The 19320-nt window shown below is 41.0% G+C and overlaps 1 protein-coding gene across 2 annotated transcripts in view, besides 1 other annotated feature; it reads right to left on the bottom strand.

The window, feature by feature from the left end:
• LHFPL3 (LHFPL tetraspan subfamily member 3) overlaps window positions 1-19320 on the bottom strand; it is a 579959-nt gene that overhangs the window by 131826 nt on the left and 428813 nt on the right. The window lies entirely within an intron of this gene.
• Window positions 3775-4539: an enhancer, noted in NCBI's record as "OCT4-NANOG-H3K27ac-H3K4me1 hESC enhancer chr7:104412644-104413408 (GRCh37/hg19 assembly coordinates)". NCBI's record gives its function as "activates a minimal SCP1, AML or CMV promoter by ChIP-STARR-seq in naive H9 embryonic stem cells {active_cell/tissue: H9 hESC(naive)}" and the evidence as "EXISTENCE:reporter gene assay evidence [ECO:0000049][PMID:30033119]".

Here is a 19320-nt window from a genome sequence, read left to right as displayed (position 1 = left end):
CTGTTGCAGTGAAAACCAAACATCTATATGCCAGTATGAATACTTTGGGCATTAGAATGGCACCTTCTTGTTTGTTTAAAATCAGAGGTTCTCAAAGTATGTTCTTGGGACCAGCAGATTCACATCCGCTGGGAATGTGTTAGAAAAGCACATTCTTGGGCCTCACCTCCAGACCTGCAGAATCAGAAACTTTGGGAGGAGGGCCCAGTGGAGGTGGAGGCTTCCAAGACTTCAGGTGATTCTGATGTGAGAACCACTGGTAAAAGAAGGAGAAGCTGGCTGTGGGGGGTGCAATTCTGGTGCCTTGACTACAATTTTGGGGTGTTTCAGATAGTTGTGTCTTCCTTAGAGCTTGAGAGGAAAGCCTGAGGAATAAGGCTGTATGCAGGTGGGGATGGGGAGTCCCATGGGTGCCTCGGTAGCATCTGGATTGTGGGTGTGGTTTCTAGAAATTGCTGTATTTGGCAATAGGCCAAAGTGTTGTATTTCCAAATACATTTTTCTTATCAGTGTGGGCATATAATTTCAGTCGGAGCCTGGATGACTTTGGGCTCACAGAGTGACTTGCTTCCTAGCCCTTTGTATCTGTGATGTTCACCACAATGAAGCTTCAGTGTTCTTAGGATACATTTAGATTAAAACCCACTGGCGTTATACCATTCTTTGGCTTTAGTCTGGTACCAACCAGTTTACATGTTAAACCCAAACTAGAAAGTACAAAGATAGGATATGTTTGGAATTAGCTTCTTTCCTTTTAAACAATGCATTCCAAGATTCTGATACAAATCAGATGCATTTTAGAGAGTACACATGGAAAATCAAGACTTAAGAAAAATGTGAGCATGCATTTTTTATGTTCTGATAAGCTGAGAAAAAAAAAAAAGACAGAAAAGAACTCCCAGGGAACCTAGAAGAAGAAACCTTAAAGAATAAGCCTTTCAGACAGGAAGAAAGATTGTTAGTTGTTGGGTGTATTCAGAAGATTTGCATTTTTAAAGTTAGTGACTAATGTAATAAAAGGTTCCAGTTAAATTATTGCAGTGGCTGCTTGCTTCAGGGCAAGCAAAGAATCTTTGAGGTTTTAAATCATTTTCTTCAGTCTGGCATGAGAGGGTATTTTTAAGCTCCTACAAATGATTTCCATATTCTCTATAGTGTTTCTCCATCTGGCCCCTAATTTTCACACACCTGGCAGGAAAATGAAAAAAAAAATTTGTACAAACAATGTTGGTATTTGGGCATAAATGATTAATATTAAGAGAAAGCCAAGGCTTCTTTGGAAATATAGTTTGATTAATAGACTTTAAAAATTAGTAGCTGTATTGATTGATTGATTGATGGAAACAGGGTCTCACTCTGTTGCCCAGGCTAGAGTGCAGTGGTGTGATCTTGGCTCACTGCAACCTTTGCCTCCTGGGTTTAAGTGATTCTCCTTCCTCAGCCTCCTGAGTAGTTGGAATTACAGGCGCCTGCCACAATGCCTGGCTAATTTTTGTTTGCATTTTTAGTAGAGACGGGGTTTCACCATGTTGGCCAGGCTGGTCTTGAACTCCTGACCTCAAGTGATCTGCCTGCCTTGGCCTCCCAAAGTGCTAGAATTACAGGCATGAGCCACCGTGCCCAGTCAGCTATATTTAATTGTCAAACATATACTGTATTATGGTTATCCTATTTTTGAAACTTGGTGTGATTCAAACTCTGGCACGTATTGACAATGGTGCAGGATCTTTGAATTCAAACCTGCTCCACAAAAGCCAGCGATTTGCTGTAACTGTAACACCAGTGTTGATGGCTCAGCTTGCTTTGCATCAAGGAGGCAGGAGAAGTGGAAATTTTACAGTCTATGGTTCTGCTCTAATGTATAAAGATGCTAAAACTCATATGTTTTGCCTCCTGAATGAGGCCTTTAATCCAGCATGCTCCTTATACTACAAACAGAGATTCTCAGAGCAAAACTCTGTAAAAGGAACATGATCAGAAAGAACTGAATATATAAAAATACAGTACTTGAATAAAATGGACCATATCTTGATGCCCAGCATATAAGTCATCAAAGTACTCTTTTTCTAAAAAAGTCCAAGTTCTAGAAAAACACTGGAACACAGTGATAAGTTTTTGCTTAGAGGCTTTACTGAGATTTAACCACTAGAAAAGCTAAAGGCTGTGTTTGACCTTATGTTGCAAAGATCCTTTCTCTCTGTATTACTGGAATGAAGGTGTATAGCCAAATGGTGAGAATTGGGTTCTGGAGACTGGCTGCCTGGGGCCAAATTCTGAACCCATTGTTTATTAGCTGAGTGATAATGAAGGAGTTATCTAAAAATTTCTTGCCGTAGTTTCTTCATCTGTACTGTGAGGTGAGGATACTAGCAGTATCTAAGTCATTGCTAGGGTTATATAATGTATGTAGAAGACTTAGAACCATGCCTGGAACAGAGCGAGTGTTAGACAAATTTAGCTATCATTATGAATATCATTTTAATTTCATTAATGAGGGCTCTGTAAGAGAAGGAAGAGAAAAGAGAAAGAGCCACTTTCTTCCTGTCCCTTCTCCTTTCCTTCTGCCACCTTTCTCTCTTCCCATCCCTATTTCTTTGCCAGATTCCAAATGGGATTTGAAGCTGAGGAATGAACATTGAGCATGATTAGAACTATTCAGTGGGCAGAGCACTGTTTTAAAAGGCCAGGAGGCCTGAATTCTCTTCCTGGCTTTACATTAACTAGATGTGTGACTACACGGAAGTTGTCCTACCCTTTGTGTTCGTCTCTAGGGCTGTTGTAACAAAGTACCACAACCCGGGTGGCTTAAACAATAGGCATGTATTGTCTCACAGTTCTGGATGCTAGAAGTCAAGGATCACGGTGTCCGCAGGGTTGGTTCCTCCTTAGGGCTGCAAGGGAACATCTGTCCCAGGCCTCTCCCCTACCTTCTGGTGGTTTGCTGGCAAACTTTGGCATTCCTTAGCTTGTGGATGTGTCGCCCGATCTCCACCTTCATCTTCACATGGCATTCTCCCTGTGTGGGAGTCTCTGTCCAGGTTTCTTCTCTTTGTAAGGACTGGGCCAGGGGCCTGCCCTACTGCAGTGTGACTGCATCTTAACTAATTTCATATGCAACAACCCTATTTCCAGGTAAGGGACAGATTCTGAGATACTGGAGTTAAAACTTCAACATATGAATTTTAGGGGGATGCAATTCAACCCATAGCACGAGGGATAGTTCTCAGAATCTCTATGCTTCTCCAAGAGGGGAATAAAGGATGCATGGCATTTCTGAAATTTATCCAACTAGAGAGCACATTTGCTCAACTGTGGAGGATCATCAGGGCCTCACGCTAACACTCCTGCCTTTTTGGGAACATCTGCTTCCCAAATGAGGTCATTACTTCCCCATTACAGAGCTGACTGTAACCAGGCACAGGAAGTCCTTCCTCCATCTCTGAGCAGAACTCACTGGGCCCACCCCCAGAGGCACACTGCCTGTCCTTGGTTAGCTTGCCAGGATGGGGGGTGAAGTCCAGCCAGTGGCCCCTCACTGCCCTGTCAGGTTCTGGGTGGGTAAGAAGACCCCCACCAGGGGACTTCTCTGGCTCAGAGGCAGCTAATGTGGATGACAACGAGGCTGGGCCACTGCATTTACATTCAAGCAGCTGTGATCCCATAAATACTACAGGGGAAAGCCCACCAGGGAGAAAACAACTTACTCATAAAATTTTAATAAATAGGTTAAAAGAAAAACCTGCCTCAGCTTCTCTTTGTGTTGCTGTCAGCAAGCACATCTCTTGCAGCAAGCTGACATTCTTGTTGACAGCGCTGTTAACAGCACTCCGAATAAGGTAATTACCCAATAAAGTTAATGTTAGCCAAATTGCACAGAACTTGAATTAAAAATTTATCTGATTGAAGGATTGAAGCCTGAGTCATGTGTCTTCCCCATTGAGCATGCAGTTTGCCTGCCTCGAGAGTAGGATACGTCACAGGATGGAGGCTGGCATTTACATTCTGGAGGTGAACCCACTCTCAGAGGCAGGAGCTGAGAATGCTTTCTTCTCTACCTCGAGGCAGCAGGGGAATGAGATTTCTGTGTTCTTCTTTATCTCTGTGTGATGTTTCCATTCACTTTGCAGAGCAGCAGTGCAGTCTAGCGCAGCCTGCCCTTTCCTGGTGAGGACTGAGCTGGGGTGGCATCAGAATAAGAAAGGGCACTGCTGTGACTGCTGTGACTGCTGTGTAGGATCCGGTGTCCTTGTAGGGCTGGTGGAGGAGGCAGTCGGAGCCCATTGTCTGAGCACACCGTAGGGGCTGCATGGCTATAAGACAGCTCACACCAAGGCTATTAGGCTTGAGCAGAAAGAGAGCAGGACTTGAGATCAAAAGAATTGGGTTCTAATAATCACTGAGCCATTAACTAATTAAAAGGTTTTTGGCAAGTCACTTCCTTTCTTTGTGCCTCATTTTTCTCATTTGTCAAATGGAGGTAACGAAATTTGTTCTATCCCTCTGGGTTGGGAGAATAAGAATAATAAAAGATGTGGAAATACCATGAATATAAGCAGTTATTAATAGGCTCAAATGAAGGTATGATTGGCCAGCAGAGATATTAAAAATGAGGCAAAAGGGCCGGGCGTTGTGGCTCATTCCTATAATCCCAGCACTTTGGGAGGCCGAGGCAGGCAATCACGAGGTCAAGAGATCGAGACCATTCCTGGCCAACATGGTGAAACCTCTTTTCTACTAAAAATACAAATTTAGCTGGGCGTGGTGGCACACACCTATAGTCCAGCTACTTGGGAGGCTGAGGCAGGAGGATCGCTTGAACCCGGGAGGCAGAGGTTGCAGTGAGCCGAGATCACACCACTGCACTCCAGCCTGGCGACAGAGCGAAACCGTCTCAAAAAAAAAAAAAAAAAAAAAAAAAAGAGAGGCAAAAGAAAAATTAATAAGTATTGAAAATAAAACTAAGGGTAACTTCTGGGCTTAAGGAGAAAGAGCCTACAGTCTCTTATTTTCACTGGAGAGGGTAGTAAACAAATCACACAGGAGTGAGGATTATGAGTGGCGTGAGCAGTATTTATTAGCGACTACAAAATAGAGCCAAAATATCAATATTCATTGGGCTGTAAAATCAAATTTTCTTTAAAAAATACCCTGTGAAATACTCAAAATGTAATTTATAACCACAATAATATAATTAGTATATATTTCCAAAAACCTGTAGAACTGGAGAATATGGCTATATTCTCAACTGAAGCAAATAATGTATCAAATGGCAGCATTTTCCAGTAAAAAGAGCCCTGAGCCCTGAGCAGACAGATGCTGCTTCTGACATGAACAAATCATGAGAAAATCACCTCTGTCCCCTTGTTCCCTTGCCTACAAAATGGAGGTAATTCCTGCCCTATTCAACTCATGGGGCTGAATGAAACGAAATGAAATGAAACACATATCTGAACAAGTGAAAGTGCCATACACCTGTGAGGTAAGATTATTTCAATTATTTAGTCAGGTGTCTGTTCTTATTCTAATTTAATTCAACAAACACTGATTTGTTGAGGGGGTCTACTGGCAGAGCGTGGTAAGTTTGGCAAGAAGCTGCCCATACTGTGTGGCTTTGTGAAGAGGAGAAAGAACTGGAAGGGCTGGGAAGGGCTCATTACAGAGGTGTTGAGAGAGCTGCCCCCAAAAAGTGTGAACAAAGTTTCTTTCATCCATAAATATATGTTGAGCTCCAACCATGTGCTGAGCACTGGACTAGGGGCTTGCGGGGATTCATCAATGAGCAGAATGAATATCCCCACACTTAAAAAACTGACATGCTACAGGGGATGACGGGCATGCGGTGGGGCACAATATGCAAGTTGCAAGGGTGAGGAGGGATCATCAAGGATGAGATAACTGAGTTAACAAAAACACAGAAGGAGAACTTACAGGGGTTATGAGGCTGTGGAAAATAGGCTTCATATCTGGTTTTGCTTCAGATGACTTGGTAGTGGCTGCCTGGAATCTGTGTTGAGGAGGATTCTGAGATTTCCTTTTGGCTCTGGTGGAAGAGTGCCAGGATTGATTACTGATGTCCACAATGGGTGTGGGAGGGGATAATTGGATGAGTGTTAGATATTCACCATTCCCAGAGAGGTTCTGTGTGACATTCCAATCTCTGCTCTTCCAGTCTTCTGAGAATGGTACGAAGCTTAATAAGCGAGTATTTAAGTCCAGCATTTGTGTGTACATGAAAAATTATTTGGATATTCTCAGAGAAAGCTCTGCTATGTAAATGCCAGTGTTAATGGTATACTTCTCCAATCTTTTACCTTCTCTTTATTGAGACCATGAGCAGGCAAGTAACTCAGCTATGTTTTATAGAACCTGTTTCTGTTTGTGATTCCACTTCTTTGGCTCCCTGCACTCCAAACTCAAAATGAGTGTCAGCCTCTTAGAGCCTCAGAATTTTTAGTTGCTCATATGCTACACTTGTCTTCTGTTTGGGGTCATATAATACATCCCTCCATGGCATTCAGAGGAAGTGATCTACCTTTTTCCTTTAAGTCTCCTGAAGTAACTATGCAACCTTCCTTGATAACTCTGTAAGAGATACAGTGTATTGTAGTTCCAGAATATCTCGTACCAGGCTGACTCTGGCTTTCTGGCTGAGCCTTAAAGGTAAATGGGGGTTTGGGAGAAACCCTTTTTCTTAGCCCTTGATATGTTAAATAAAGAAATTCAGAAAATCCTATATTGCTTATAAGCAATTGTCTTGGTGCAAAATTTTGTATGTCAAAAATAAAATGTTAATTTTTTCCTGTTAGATTGAACCATATGAAATTGCTATTTTTTCCACCTTCAACCATGTCCCCGCAAATGACGTAAACTCATCCTTTTTTTATGGCTGCATAGTATTCCACGGCATATATGTGCCACATTTTCTTTATCCAGTCTATTATTGATGGACATTTGGGTTGGTTCCAAGTCTTTGCTATTGTGGAAACCATCATTCTCAACAAACTATCACAAGAACAGAAAACCAAACACCGCATGTTCTCACTCATAAGTGGGAGTTGAACAATGAGAACACATGGACACAGGGAGGGGAACATCACACACCGGGGCCTGTCGGGGGTTGGGGGGGCTAAAAGAGGGACAGCATTAGCAGAAATACCTAATGTAGATGACGGGTTGATGGGTGCAGCAAACCACCATGGCACGTGTATACCTATGTAACAAACCTGCATGTTCTGCACATGTACCCCAGAACTTAAAGTATAATAATAATAAAAAAAGAAATTGCTATTTTTATAGGTCAAAAAGTTTTAGTGTTGGCAATTTTCTCTGGTTCAACTTAATAGATGTATACTTTCTTTAACAATCCTACACTTGAGAATTTGGGCTTTAGGCTGTTTAAGGAGAATGCCTTGTACTTTGAAAGGCAAAAAAGAAATGGACATTAATGTTTTGCTGAAATATGTCTTTTTGTCTTCAAAACTTGCTCTTCCTGGTCCCTTCTTAATGACAGTAAGAACAGCTGCTCATAGGCCTCTCTGCTCAAACTTGAAGAGTGCAATTGAACACAGCTCAACTGTGCTTCTATAGATAACATGAAGCCAGAAGGCTGCTGGTTCTCTGTTGTATTCACTGGTTAGATGGAAAAAGTAAGTATTTAATGAGAAACTCCTGAGATGTTTGAAATGATAGCTACATCTCTATTTCTTTCCCCAATGACAGAGGGAAATCTGGTTTCTGGATTAACTACTGAATAGCAACTGCAGTCAACAGCTGATGGAATCTTGCAGGAAGACTAAGCTGGTGTTCAGAGAAGTTTTGTTCAGGCATCCCATTTTATTTCACTCATACTATCCAATGGCTGTGTTTGCATGTGGATATGAAAGTATCTGAATATTCTGATTAACATTTGTATGAAGGATTTCTGTCTACTAAAGAGTGCAACAGAATAGACCATCTGGAGAGAGGGCTGTTTCATTCCGATGGAAGGTGGCAACAAAGTTGTCATCTAAAAGGAGGATGCTGGGAGTGGTATTCTGTTCCTGGAAATAAAAGTCAACCTAATCCTTTGTGCCGAGGGCTTTGCTTGCTGGATCGATTTCTCATTGTCTGAAAACTGCCAGTCACAGAAATAATACAACCAGCTGGCTATCTAGCAGGGATTCTGCTGCTAGGAAGAGGAGCATCTGTAGATGACAAAGGGACACTAAGGGTCCTTAGAAATTCCCTGCATTGTCATCTGATACCACTTAGTCACACAGCACCCCTAGGTGTGTGGGTGACAGGGCAGGCTCAAGCCCAACTCTGCTGATTCCATTAATAAAAATGGCCATGCCAAGGGTGATTGCACTCCCTGGAGATGGGAGTGTGATGTCGGTTCACAAAAGGCCAATGATACGTTGCCCTCTGGTGTCAACTTTTTCTTACTGAGGCAAGAAAAAGTGTTCCCAGCAACTTCTCAGACTCCCTCAGCCCACTGACCAGGTCACTGTACTTGCAAACGACATAGAACATGAAGATAAAAACTATAAATCTGAGATATTTCCAGTAAGTCAAAGGAAAGCAGAGGCAATGTTCTTGCTTTTTTTTTTTTTTTTTCACGAGAATAATCACAAGGGTGTTTGGGTATCTGCTTCAGTCTTTCATGAGTATTTTCCATGAAGGCTGATGGGGAAGAAGTCAGTAGCTTCTTTTTCTTTGCTGAAAGAGTCATTATCTCAGAGACTTAGGGATTAGCAAATGGGATACCATGTGATGAGGATGAGAGGATAGAAAACAGTCTGGAAATATTTGCTTTTAGGCAAAGATGAAATCACAAGGTTCATTTATTTCCTTTGTTCTACAATTTCCTTAAAGGCCAAGTCACATGAAGATAATGTAAATAAAAATTACCTTAGGAATGGGAAAAAGAAAAAGAAACCAAGTCTGATGGGTGACTGTTGAGAAAGGGAGTTGGAAGCCACTGAACTCTGGGCTTTTGTTCTCAAGCCAACCCGTGGATTTGGTACTATACTTTGATTAATCTATCTAACTTCCACGTCTTTTTCAATAAAATTTCTCCCTACCTCTTGAGGAAGTTGCAAGATTGGGTTTAATTATTGTTTGTACTTTGAGAGGCTCAAGGAAAGTACTTCGAGATACAAAGCAGTATAAGAAAGGAAGCTAAGAATACTTTTATAAAAGAAGAAAAGTGTACACAGGGTACCTAAATTTCATTTTGGAGGAATGAAAAATGTAAACTTTACCCAGAAACTATATAAATACCAGTCAGAGAGATGCAGATTGCCTTCTGTGGATCACATGATATCGGAGGTGGGGTGATTCCTCTGGCTGTTCCCTGAATTTTCAGATATTCTCTCTAGGTCCTCTCCAAGACAGAAGCAATCTGCCAGAGGCACCTCTGGGTTTGCAGATCCTCTAGCATTCACAGTGTCTTTCGGAGCTCATTCCCTGATTGCAGGGCCAAATGGCCTCTCTCAGCTCCATCTTACCCGGAGCTGCTCTGATCGTGACAGTTTCTATATGACCACTGCTAGTCTTCTCACCAAGGGCACTAACCTAGCAGACTACAGAGTCTGTAAATAATGGTTACTTTGAGAAATGTCACTCTTCAGGAAGTCCTACCTTATCGCATTTAATCAGAACTTTAACTTTTATTATGTTTGTGATAACTTTACTCAAAATTTGAAGCTATTCAGTGATTCTTTCAGCTTTTTAAAAAGAAAATCGAAGTTCCTTATGATAAAGACAAGCAAATTACAATGTTTCTCATGATTATAAACTCTGCTAAATGCAAATAATAATGGAAATAAAATGCATGAATTTGGTGTGCAAACCAAGGCTAAGCTGTTTTGGGTTTGGTGTCCATCAAATTTGAACTTTGCCACAGTTTGGCAAAATAATAGAGCAGAAAAACTTAAGAGAATAGGAAATTACGAGAAAAATAATGGGAGTGGGAAGTGGTGGAGAGAATGCAAGCAGAAAGGAATGTTTGCTCTCTTTCTCATCCTTTGATGTCAACCTTCTGCCACTCATCTGAGGGTCCCAGAATCAGAAGTTTCTTGCACAAGATTAGAAGTATGGTTTTCAAACTGTGTGCCAAGGAACCCAAGAGGTTCTTTTTCAGGGGCTTCCTCATGGTTGGGGAGGAAGACGAAAATCTCCATTCCCTTTTCCCCAGTAATTTCATGGGCTTGGCAGTAAAATGGAATCCTAATGAGAGGGCCAATTATAGTTTTCCAGGTGAAATTTAGCCCATTAAGTATTTTAGTTTTAAAGTTAAGATCATTAGAAAATGTACAAGGTGGAGAAAATCAGCATAGATGAGAAACAATCCAAGTGAAAGATCCTCTTTGCTATTGGTTCATGTCCCTAGTGGCTGGACTTTCTAAGAGGATGTAAGAGCCTTGTCAAAGATAGTGCTCCTTATATTGGCCTCTACCAAAGCCTTGCTCCCATGGCATTCAGACTCTCAAGTCAATACGATTTAGTTTTTGATCATTCCACTCATTGCTCTCTAGATAATCTCCCATATCAACAAAGTTTCTTTTGTTCTCTAGAAAGCCAAGATACCAACAAAGCTCGACATTACCATCCACAGAAACTACTTTAGCATTAGGATCATTCCGTATCATCATATGGATTTCTGTGCCAACTCAGGAACAAATGATGGTATAGCAGAAAAGATATTGAAACAAGCCATACAGCAGGGTTTAGCAAATTATGAGAGCTGACTACAAAACAGGGAAGAACATGGTGAAGTTTCAAAACTATTCCATAGTAGTGGTCAGGAGTGTGGAGGTTGGATGCATTTGATGTTGACCATGAAGGATTGCCAGAACTTGTCCTGAACACTTCTGCACAAGTGTGTGGAGCCTGGACTTCCATCACTGTGCTACAGTAATCAGACATCTGCATTGCATATAAACTGTGGGGAGCGGAAATGCCCACTGAAAGACCTGTTGGGAGAGAATTACAATAATTTAGCCTCTATCATGGGGCTCTGCTCTGCTGCTACAAGGTCATCATGGGAGAAACAACGGAGTATCTTGCAGAAAGTTAGAATTTGGTCCTTTGCCCTTTCAGTATTGCACTTTGTACATGTATAAGCTCAATAACTATTAGTTAAAGATGGTGCAGAAAATGCCTTTGTAATTTCTCTTGGGAAATGGCTTTCTTTGCAAAAGGTAGGTTGAAAGGAAAGCACAATGACTTCTAAAAGTGATGACAAGAAGCAAGGATGAATCCCTTATGCTAATACTGTCCCTCCCCAATAGAAATAATTTCCAATGAATGTTAAAACTGGAAGGTTATTTAGGTATCTCTTTATAGATTAGCAAGACAGTATTGCAAGGTCTTTGGCCAAATACTGAGCCCAGATGTATTCTGCAGTCCACACTGATCTTTAAACTTGAAGAAAGTTATCTATTCTTACTTCAGATGTGTTTTATCAGCTCCTTAGGAGCCTGCTAGAGTCATAACTTTTTCTTTTGTGCTGAAAAGGGAGTAGAGGAGCATTTTCCTTGTAGCTAGACAGGAGTCTTTCTTCCCTCAAATTGCCATTTTTATTTAGGTTTATCAGAATGTAAGAGTCCAACAAAATTTTTCCCAATTACTTCATCAAACAACAAAGTGTCATCTTTTGTTTGCTTCTTTTAGAACACAAGATAAGAAATGGCTTTGATGTATCAGATCTGATGTCCTAAGAGATTTAGCTCCATTTACATTTTGGCTTCCCCAACCCTCACTCCAACATAAAATCCTCTTAGAATTAGAAGATGGAAATTGAAACTTTGGCATGAGCGCTAATGAAATGTAAGACCTTGAACAAGTCATCTAATGTCTGTGAACATCAATTTTCTTGCCAATAAAGTGGGACAGAAATAATCGTAGGACTACTGCAAGGGTCAAATGAGATAGAAGATATAAAAACATATTGTAAATTGTAAAGCACTTCAATATATAGTTATAAATACTAACAACACAGTCATGGCCTAGCGAAATGAGCATTGAATTTGAGGTCAGTAGATAGGCATGTAAATATTGCATTGTCTGCTTAACAGTTGTCTGATTTGGGGTAAGTCATGTAAACTGTATAAGGCGCAGTTTCCATAAGTGTAGATATGGATTATTAAGTTACTAAAAAAATCATAGGGTTTTTGTAACTGAAATAATAGCTGATTGAACCACAATAGACACCTAGCTCAAGCTATGCCAATCAGACTCTCTCCCATGGGAATCTGGGCTTGGGATTAAAGGACTGTCCATTGGCTGGGTGCGGTGGCTCATGCCTATAATCCTAGCACTTTGGGAGGCCAAGGCGGGTGGATCACCTGAGATCAAGAGTTTGAGACCAGCCTGACCAACATAGCAAAACCCCATCTCTCCTACAAATACAGAAAAATTCACTGGGCATGGTGGCGGGAGCCTGTAATCCCAGCTACTCAGGAGGCTGAGGTAGGAGAATTGCTAGAAACTTGGGGGCGGAGGTTGCAGTGAACCGAGATCACACCACTGCACTCCGGCCTGGGCAACAGAGTGAGACTCTGTCTCAATAAAACAAAACAAAACAAACAAAAAAAGGACTGTCCATCATTTCTGGGCAAGTGTGTGCCAGAGAGAGGAAAATTAAAAATGCATTGTATAAAAGGCTGATTGGTAGAGAAAGTGGGTACTGCTTCTGAGAAGAAAGAATGAAGTAGGTTGAAGAGAGCTAGAGACACACATATACACACAGATTAAGAGCCAAACAGCATTCCCAGATGTCTTTACTCTTCCATTTCTAGGTGATATTTCCATGTATCCTTATTGGAAATTTCCTTCTGGATTAGTTAACAGAATCTACTTTAGCTAGTTTAAGCAGAAAGGGATGTAATGCAGGAATTAGGTACTCATAAAATTGTTGGAAGGGAGAAGAGCAGGCTCTAGGCCAAGCTTTCAGGGTAACTTCCCAAACAACCAAACAACCCTACAGAAGTGGTCCAATGAGGAAGTTACTGCCCTTTCCAGGAAGCTGGGGAAGCAAGAACCTGCTCCCACAGAATCACACTGCTTTTGTCAAGATCCACACCAGGAAGATTCTTGATACCTGTGAAGCTGAGAAGTAGCCACTGAGCTATTTGCTGCTGTCCTCCTTCCACCCTCCCATACTCTCACCAACTGTGGGGCATGGCCTCTGCCTCTTGTGGAGGCTAAGTGGTGTGCAGAGGCTGCACTGCAGGGAGTCTGAGTAACGCGGTCTCTACTTGCAGCAGACGGCATGCAGTAAGCCATGTATAGGAAAACAATATAGTTCAGTGAGTTAATCTGCATATCTACCTTGCCTTCTTTCTTCTGAAATCAAGTCCTGTTCATTGTAACAGTGCAGTACTTAACACATTAATGTGAATGACAGGCTCTTGAATAAGCTGCAAGGGAGCCACTAGTTTTCTTGGAACGAGATATCTGGGGATTCCCACCTCAGAGACCAACACAAAGAAATAAAGACAAGGTCTGGCGAAGGTTGGGACATTGTGACCTTTACAGTGTCTCTCCTGCCCTCTTTCCACGATTTTTGTGCCAATTACTTGTTGACAAGCCCCAGAGCTTAAGACATGGGTACTTCGCTGTGAAATGAGATGATTATAGAATAGTTATCAAAGAGGTTAGACTATTTTTGGCATCATCACAGTTCTGAATTGTAGCCTCAGTAAACAACAAGTCATTACTCTGTCACACAATGTCTGGTGCCCTGTCCTTTTTGTCCTTGCATCTTTAATTCAGACTTTTGCCACCACGAAGGGTCACATCCTTCCTTGGTTCTGGGGCAGACTGCAGAGCCTTGGGTTAGCATGCAGACTCCTCTGTCCATGTGCTTGCTGCCAGGCTTGCGTGGGGTCTTGGAAAGAGCATAGAATTTGAGTCATTTGCTTAGCCAATTATTAGCGAGGGCCTTTATGCAAGATGTGAAATCTTCTTAAACCTTAGATTCTTCATCTTTAAAATGGAATCAAAATGCCTGCCATACAAATTTGTGGGGATTAAGTGAAATAATGACTACAAAGGCCTTTGTAACTAACAGTGCCTGGCACACAGATCAGGCATATTGAATATTAGCTTCTTTAGGGCTGAGTCTTCACAGCTCTGGGCTCAATCACATTCTGAAGCTTCACTTTTGGTGAATGAATCCTTGCCTTGTGGCCCTTGGTTTCAACTGTGTCTCAGTTCCCCACCATCTTGTCCTTGCCAGGATCCACGTTGCCTTACCCCTCCTGCCCTTGGTCTCCTCTTCCGTATTTAGTTCTATGGCCAGATATTTGCTACTTAGTAGAGATTTCTCATCTGCCTGCCTGCACAGCTATCTAATTTTTGAGATTCTCCATTGCACACACCACCCTTTCATTGGTCATGACATTCTAGATTGCTATTGCTTGCCTGAACTATCACCTGTTATTTGTCACATTATTGTCCAGATGCTGAGTTCAACTTTCCTTTTTCTCGTCACTTGTAGTTGAGTCCTTCTTTTACTTCCTTCCTACCTACATCTGCCATCTTCCCCTCCCACTCCAGCAAATATCTTTGTCTCGGGTCCTGGATGTTAACCCTCTCATGCCAGGTAGTGTTTTTAGACACGAAACAGAGTCCTCTATGTCCCTGCTGCTCAGGTGACACACTGGCATCGCTGGGAGCTTATTAGATATGCAGAATCTACTGAATCAGAAACTGCATTTTAACAAGATCCTGAGGTGATTCATAGGCACATGAAATTTTGAGAATCACTGTGCTATAAGTAAGGAAATGTGACTAGGTTAGAAAATACTTTGGTGGTATCTGGCAAAAATCTGTTCACCTTCCTCCTGGTGATGTTCTAGAGACACATGGCTGCCTCCCAATATGGCTTGCTGGCACTTCTATTAAAAGGATGGCAATATGGTATTCTGTGTCTTTTCATCCCAAGGATGGGTTTTGTGTTGTAAGGATGAAGTTCAGGCTTGTGACAAGCTGCAGTGAAATGAAAATTCCGGCAGGCTATGTATTTGAAGAAATTCACTCTACGACTGTTCTACTTGCTTCTGAGTCAAATCAAATGAAGGGATCCTGCGTTTATGAACTGTACGGTAAAGAGAGAGAACTCTAGGAATCTACTTTTTATTTTTGTTTTTTCCCTTTTTCTACCCTAGCCTTCCCAAACCTTCTTCCATCAGTTCCTCTGAAACCAGCACCAGAGTACAGAGCAGAACATGGTGACTGAGGGCAAACGACAGGGGGAAGCTTTGAGAAATGGCAGGTATTTTTGGTGACTTACTGAACTGGTGGCTTTTCCTCCTATTGTTTTTGCTCAAAACATGTCTTTGTAATATTGGATTATTATGATTTTTTTCATTTATTCAAATACACCCACACCCTACCTTTTCCCTACTTAGAAACTCCATCCTTGTGCTACAAGGATGAATTTGTAAAAATGTAAAAAAACCCACCAAATCAATCGATCCATATATGGATAAAGAAACAGGCTTCAGGCATCTATTATGAAAAGTATAGGCTGTGAGTGATGTCAAGAGACCTAGACGGCTTCTGCAGCCTAACTTCACTTTCACTTATCTTGTCATTATATGGCCATGGGAAAAACGCAGCCTGCCTCTCTTTGCAGTTTTGAACACATAAATGCTCCCATATTTCTGATGGAGCTTCTAATGAAGATGACTTTTCCATTTTTCATGCTGATATCAGTTTGACCTGCTCCTGTCCAGTTAGCACACCTGGGTCTGCTGTCCTTTTGTGAATATTATGGGCTCCATGATATGCACAAAGTAATGTTTTTTTTTTTTTCTGATGTGATAGGGTTTGGGAGTTGGGGCAGAAGACAGAGTTTAAAAGCTGTAAAAATAAATAAGAGGAATGGAAAGGCCCCTACCTTGCAAGAATGGAAAGGGCTAGAGATCAATGGGTAGGAAGATTGAAAGTGCCCTCAGGCCACTTAATAAATCAAGACGTGATGGAACTTGCAGATAGGTAGAAAGGCAAATAATTGCTCACTTCTTGAGCATAGCATCGGTGGTTAAAATACAATCAGTTAAATTTTAGACTCAGGATCTTTCTAAATTGTGGTGAATGCACAATAACTATCACTTGGCTTAAAAAAATGACACTAGGAAAATATTTGATGATGTAGCCACTTCTTTAAAAAGATGCCATATGAATTTTTCAAAAGTAAATAGTGATGACTTCAAAGTGTGTGTACTTTGGAAAAGGCTACTGTATGTTTACATGATACGAGACATCCACATGTATCATTTCTGCTTCCTTGCAAGAACTGAGGGAAGAGGTGAATGCTTCCCTATTACAATAAAATGCTATACTTATGTTTAATAATTAATTAAGAAGGAATAAAAAGGTTCATAACAAGTGGACCTATCCCAGTCCATACTACTTGGTAGCCATCTTTAGCTGACTAAAGAAATAACAATAGACAGGTTTATAAATCAAAGTTTGGTTTCTGGCAGCCAAGGGAAGCATCATCATTAGCTTAAGACAGACTCCTACTAATGGCATCAAATTCAGTCTATACAGCAGGGGTTCTTAAAGTGTGGTCCCTGGACCAATAGCATCAGCATCTCCTGGGAACTTGGTAGAAGGGCAGATTCTCAGGCCTCACTCTGAATCGCTGAATCGGAACCTCTGGGGGTCAGGCCCAGTGACAAGTACTTTAATAGTAAGCTCTCCCAGTGATTCGGACACTCACTGATTTGGGAACCACTGCTACCCAGTGGTATCTGAGGAGCGACGATAATACAATAGAAAGTGCCAGGGCTCTGAGGCCAAGCCTGAGTTCCTTCCCAGCCTTGCTATCACTCACTGCGTGACCTTGGCAAGTCTTTGGCATGCCTGAACCTTGATTTTCTCCTCTGCAAAATCAGAATCATCTCCTTTCCTCACAGGTCTGTTGTGGGGAAAGTCAGATGATGTGAGTCCTTGTTCACACAGTAAGTGCCCAGAAAACCTTGGTGCTTTTCCTCTTCCCTTCCCTGAAGCTGAACTTCTGCGGAAAAATCCAAGAGGTAAGAGCCATCAATATTTGTGGAAAATTAAGAGGGTTTTCATAAACTCATGGACATTACTCGGTGAAAGTTGGTGTCTTGTACTGAGTGAACTGTCTGCTGTCCAGGCCTGTGCTGTCCAACACAGGAGCCAAATGTGACCATTGAGCACTGGAAATGTGGCTTGTGTGAATGAGATAAACTGCAAGTGTAAAAGACACATTGGAATTTTAAGACTTAACATGAAAAAAATTTAATTTATAATTTTTTATATTGATTACATGCTGAAATAAAAGTTTGGGTATATTGGGTTAAATATATTATTAAAATTAATTTCACCTTTTTTTAAAAAAAAATTTAAACTGTGGCTACAGGGACATGTATAAGCACATATGTGGCTCACAGAGTTAACTCTGAGTAACTCGGGCTTATTAATAATGTCCACTCCTAAGTAAAGTTCTATGAGGGATAAGTCCCCATTCCATCTTCCAGCACTCCCACACTGCTTTCATACAGGCAGAATCAAGAGACTTGCTTAGCCCCTCAGACATTCAAAAAAGTCAGCGTTCAGGAAATGGGAGTTCTTTAAGCATCAGCCCACTCTTATCTTCTCTTGCTTAACAACAGACAATAAAAGGCAGTTCTCTCAGATGTCTATTTGTCCTCGGCGTGACTTAAAAATCAGCTCAGGAAGTCATCTGTCAGTCAAGTATATTACAGAGAGAAACATTTGTGAAATTACCTGAGTTGAGATGTCTCAAATGACAATTTCTTATTTGCACAACTTAAATTATTCAAGACAACACAGACCTGCTCTAATCTTTAAAAAGACTTTAGGGTTACGAGGATTTGGTTCTCTGTGTTTTAAATATTTCGTCTTCTTTTAAGAACCCAACCCTATGGGAGACTCAGAGAGCATTCTAATGACAGAAAGAAGCCCCTCCTTGTGTGTACCTAGGACTGATTACATGCATCTATCTCGTAGCTTGTTTGAGTGACGCTTCCCTGAGAAAAACAACTAGTCACATGAGGAATGGGCCAGATGGTAGACAGATGACTCTATGCCTGAAAAATTGCATGAGTAATATCATTCTTTCACTTCAGTTTTATTTATTTATATATTTTTGGTGGGGTGCAGAAAGCTCCCAGTTAATTACATTCAAATAAATATAGGACACCTGCTTGATGCCAGGCACTATGCTAGCCACAGTGGGTAGAACTGAAAGAGACACGGTCCTATTCCAGCTTGAACTAAAATTGCTATAAATGACAAGCCCCTCTATACAGCCATGATTATGTTTTATTGATTTTCATGTATAGGGCTCATTGCTAGCTTTATTTTTATTTTATTTTAATAATTGCAACTTTTATTTTAGATTCGGGGGTACATGTGCAGGTTTGTTACATGGGTATATTATGTGATACTGAGGTTTGGGGAACAAATGATCCCTACTAGCGGATTACCCAGGTAGTGAGTATAGTACCCAATAAGTAGTTTTTCAACCCTTTGCCTGCCACTTCTTTCCCTCCTCCAGGAGTCCCCAGTGTCCATTGTTCCCATGTTTATGTCTATATATACCTCTCATTTGCAAGTGAGGACATGTGGTATTTGGTTTTTTGTTCCTCTGTTAATTCGCTTAGGATGATGGCCTCCAGCTGGATCCATGTTGCTGCAAAGAACATGATTTCATTCTTCTATTATGGCTGTGTAGTATTCCATGGTGTATATGTACCACATTTTCTTTATCCAATTCACTGCTGACAGGCACCTAGGTTGATTTCATGTCTTTGCTATTGTGAATAGTGCTGCAATGAACATACAAGTGCACATGTCTTTTTTGTAGAACAATTTATTTTCCTCTGGGTATCTAACCAGTAATGGAATTGTTGGGTCATATGGTAGTTCTATTTTTAGTTCTTTGAGAAATCTCCAAACTGCTTTCCACAGTGGCTGAACTAATTTACTTTCCCACCAAAAGTGTATAAGTGTTCCTTTTTCTCCACAGCCTTGCCAGCTTCTGTTGTTTTTTGTCTTTTTATTAATGGCCATTTGGACTGGTGTGAGATGATATCTCATTATGGTTTAGATTTGCATTTTTCTGATGATTAGTGATGGTAAGTATTTTTTTCCTATGTTTTTTGTCTACTTGTATGTCTTCTTTTGAGAAGTGTCTGTTCATGTCTTTTTTTAAATGAAGTTATTTGTTTTTTGTTTGTTGAGTTGTTTAAGTGCCTTATGGATTCTGGATATTAAACCTTTGTTGGATGCATAGTTTGCAAGTATTTTCTCCCATTCTGTAGGTTGTCT

Source organism: Homo sapiens, chromosome 7 (assembly GCF_000001405.40).
Source record: "Homo sapiens chromosome 7, GRCh38.p14 Primary Assembly".
Classification (NCBI taxonomy): Eukaryota; Metazoa; Chordata; class Mammalia; order Primates; family Hominidae; genus Homo; species Homo sapiens.
The sequence above is the reverse complement of the archived record's forward strand: the minus strand, read 5'-3'. Positions and strand labels throughout refer to the sequence as shown.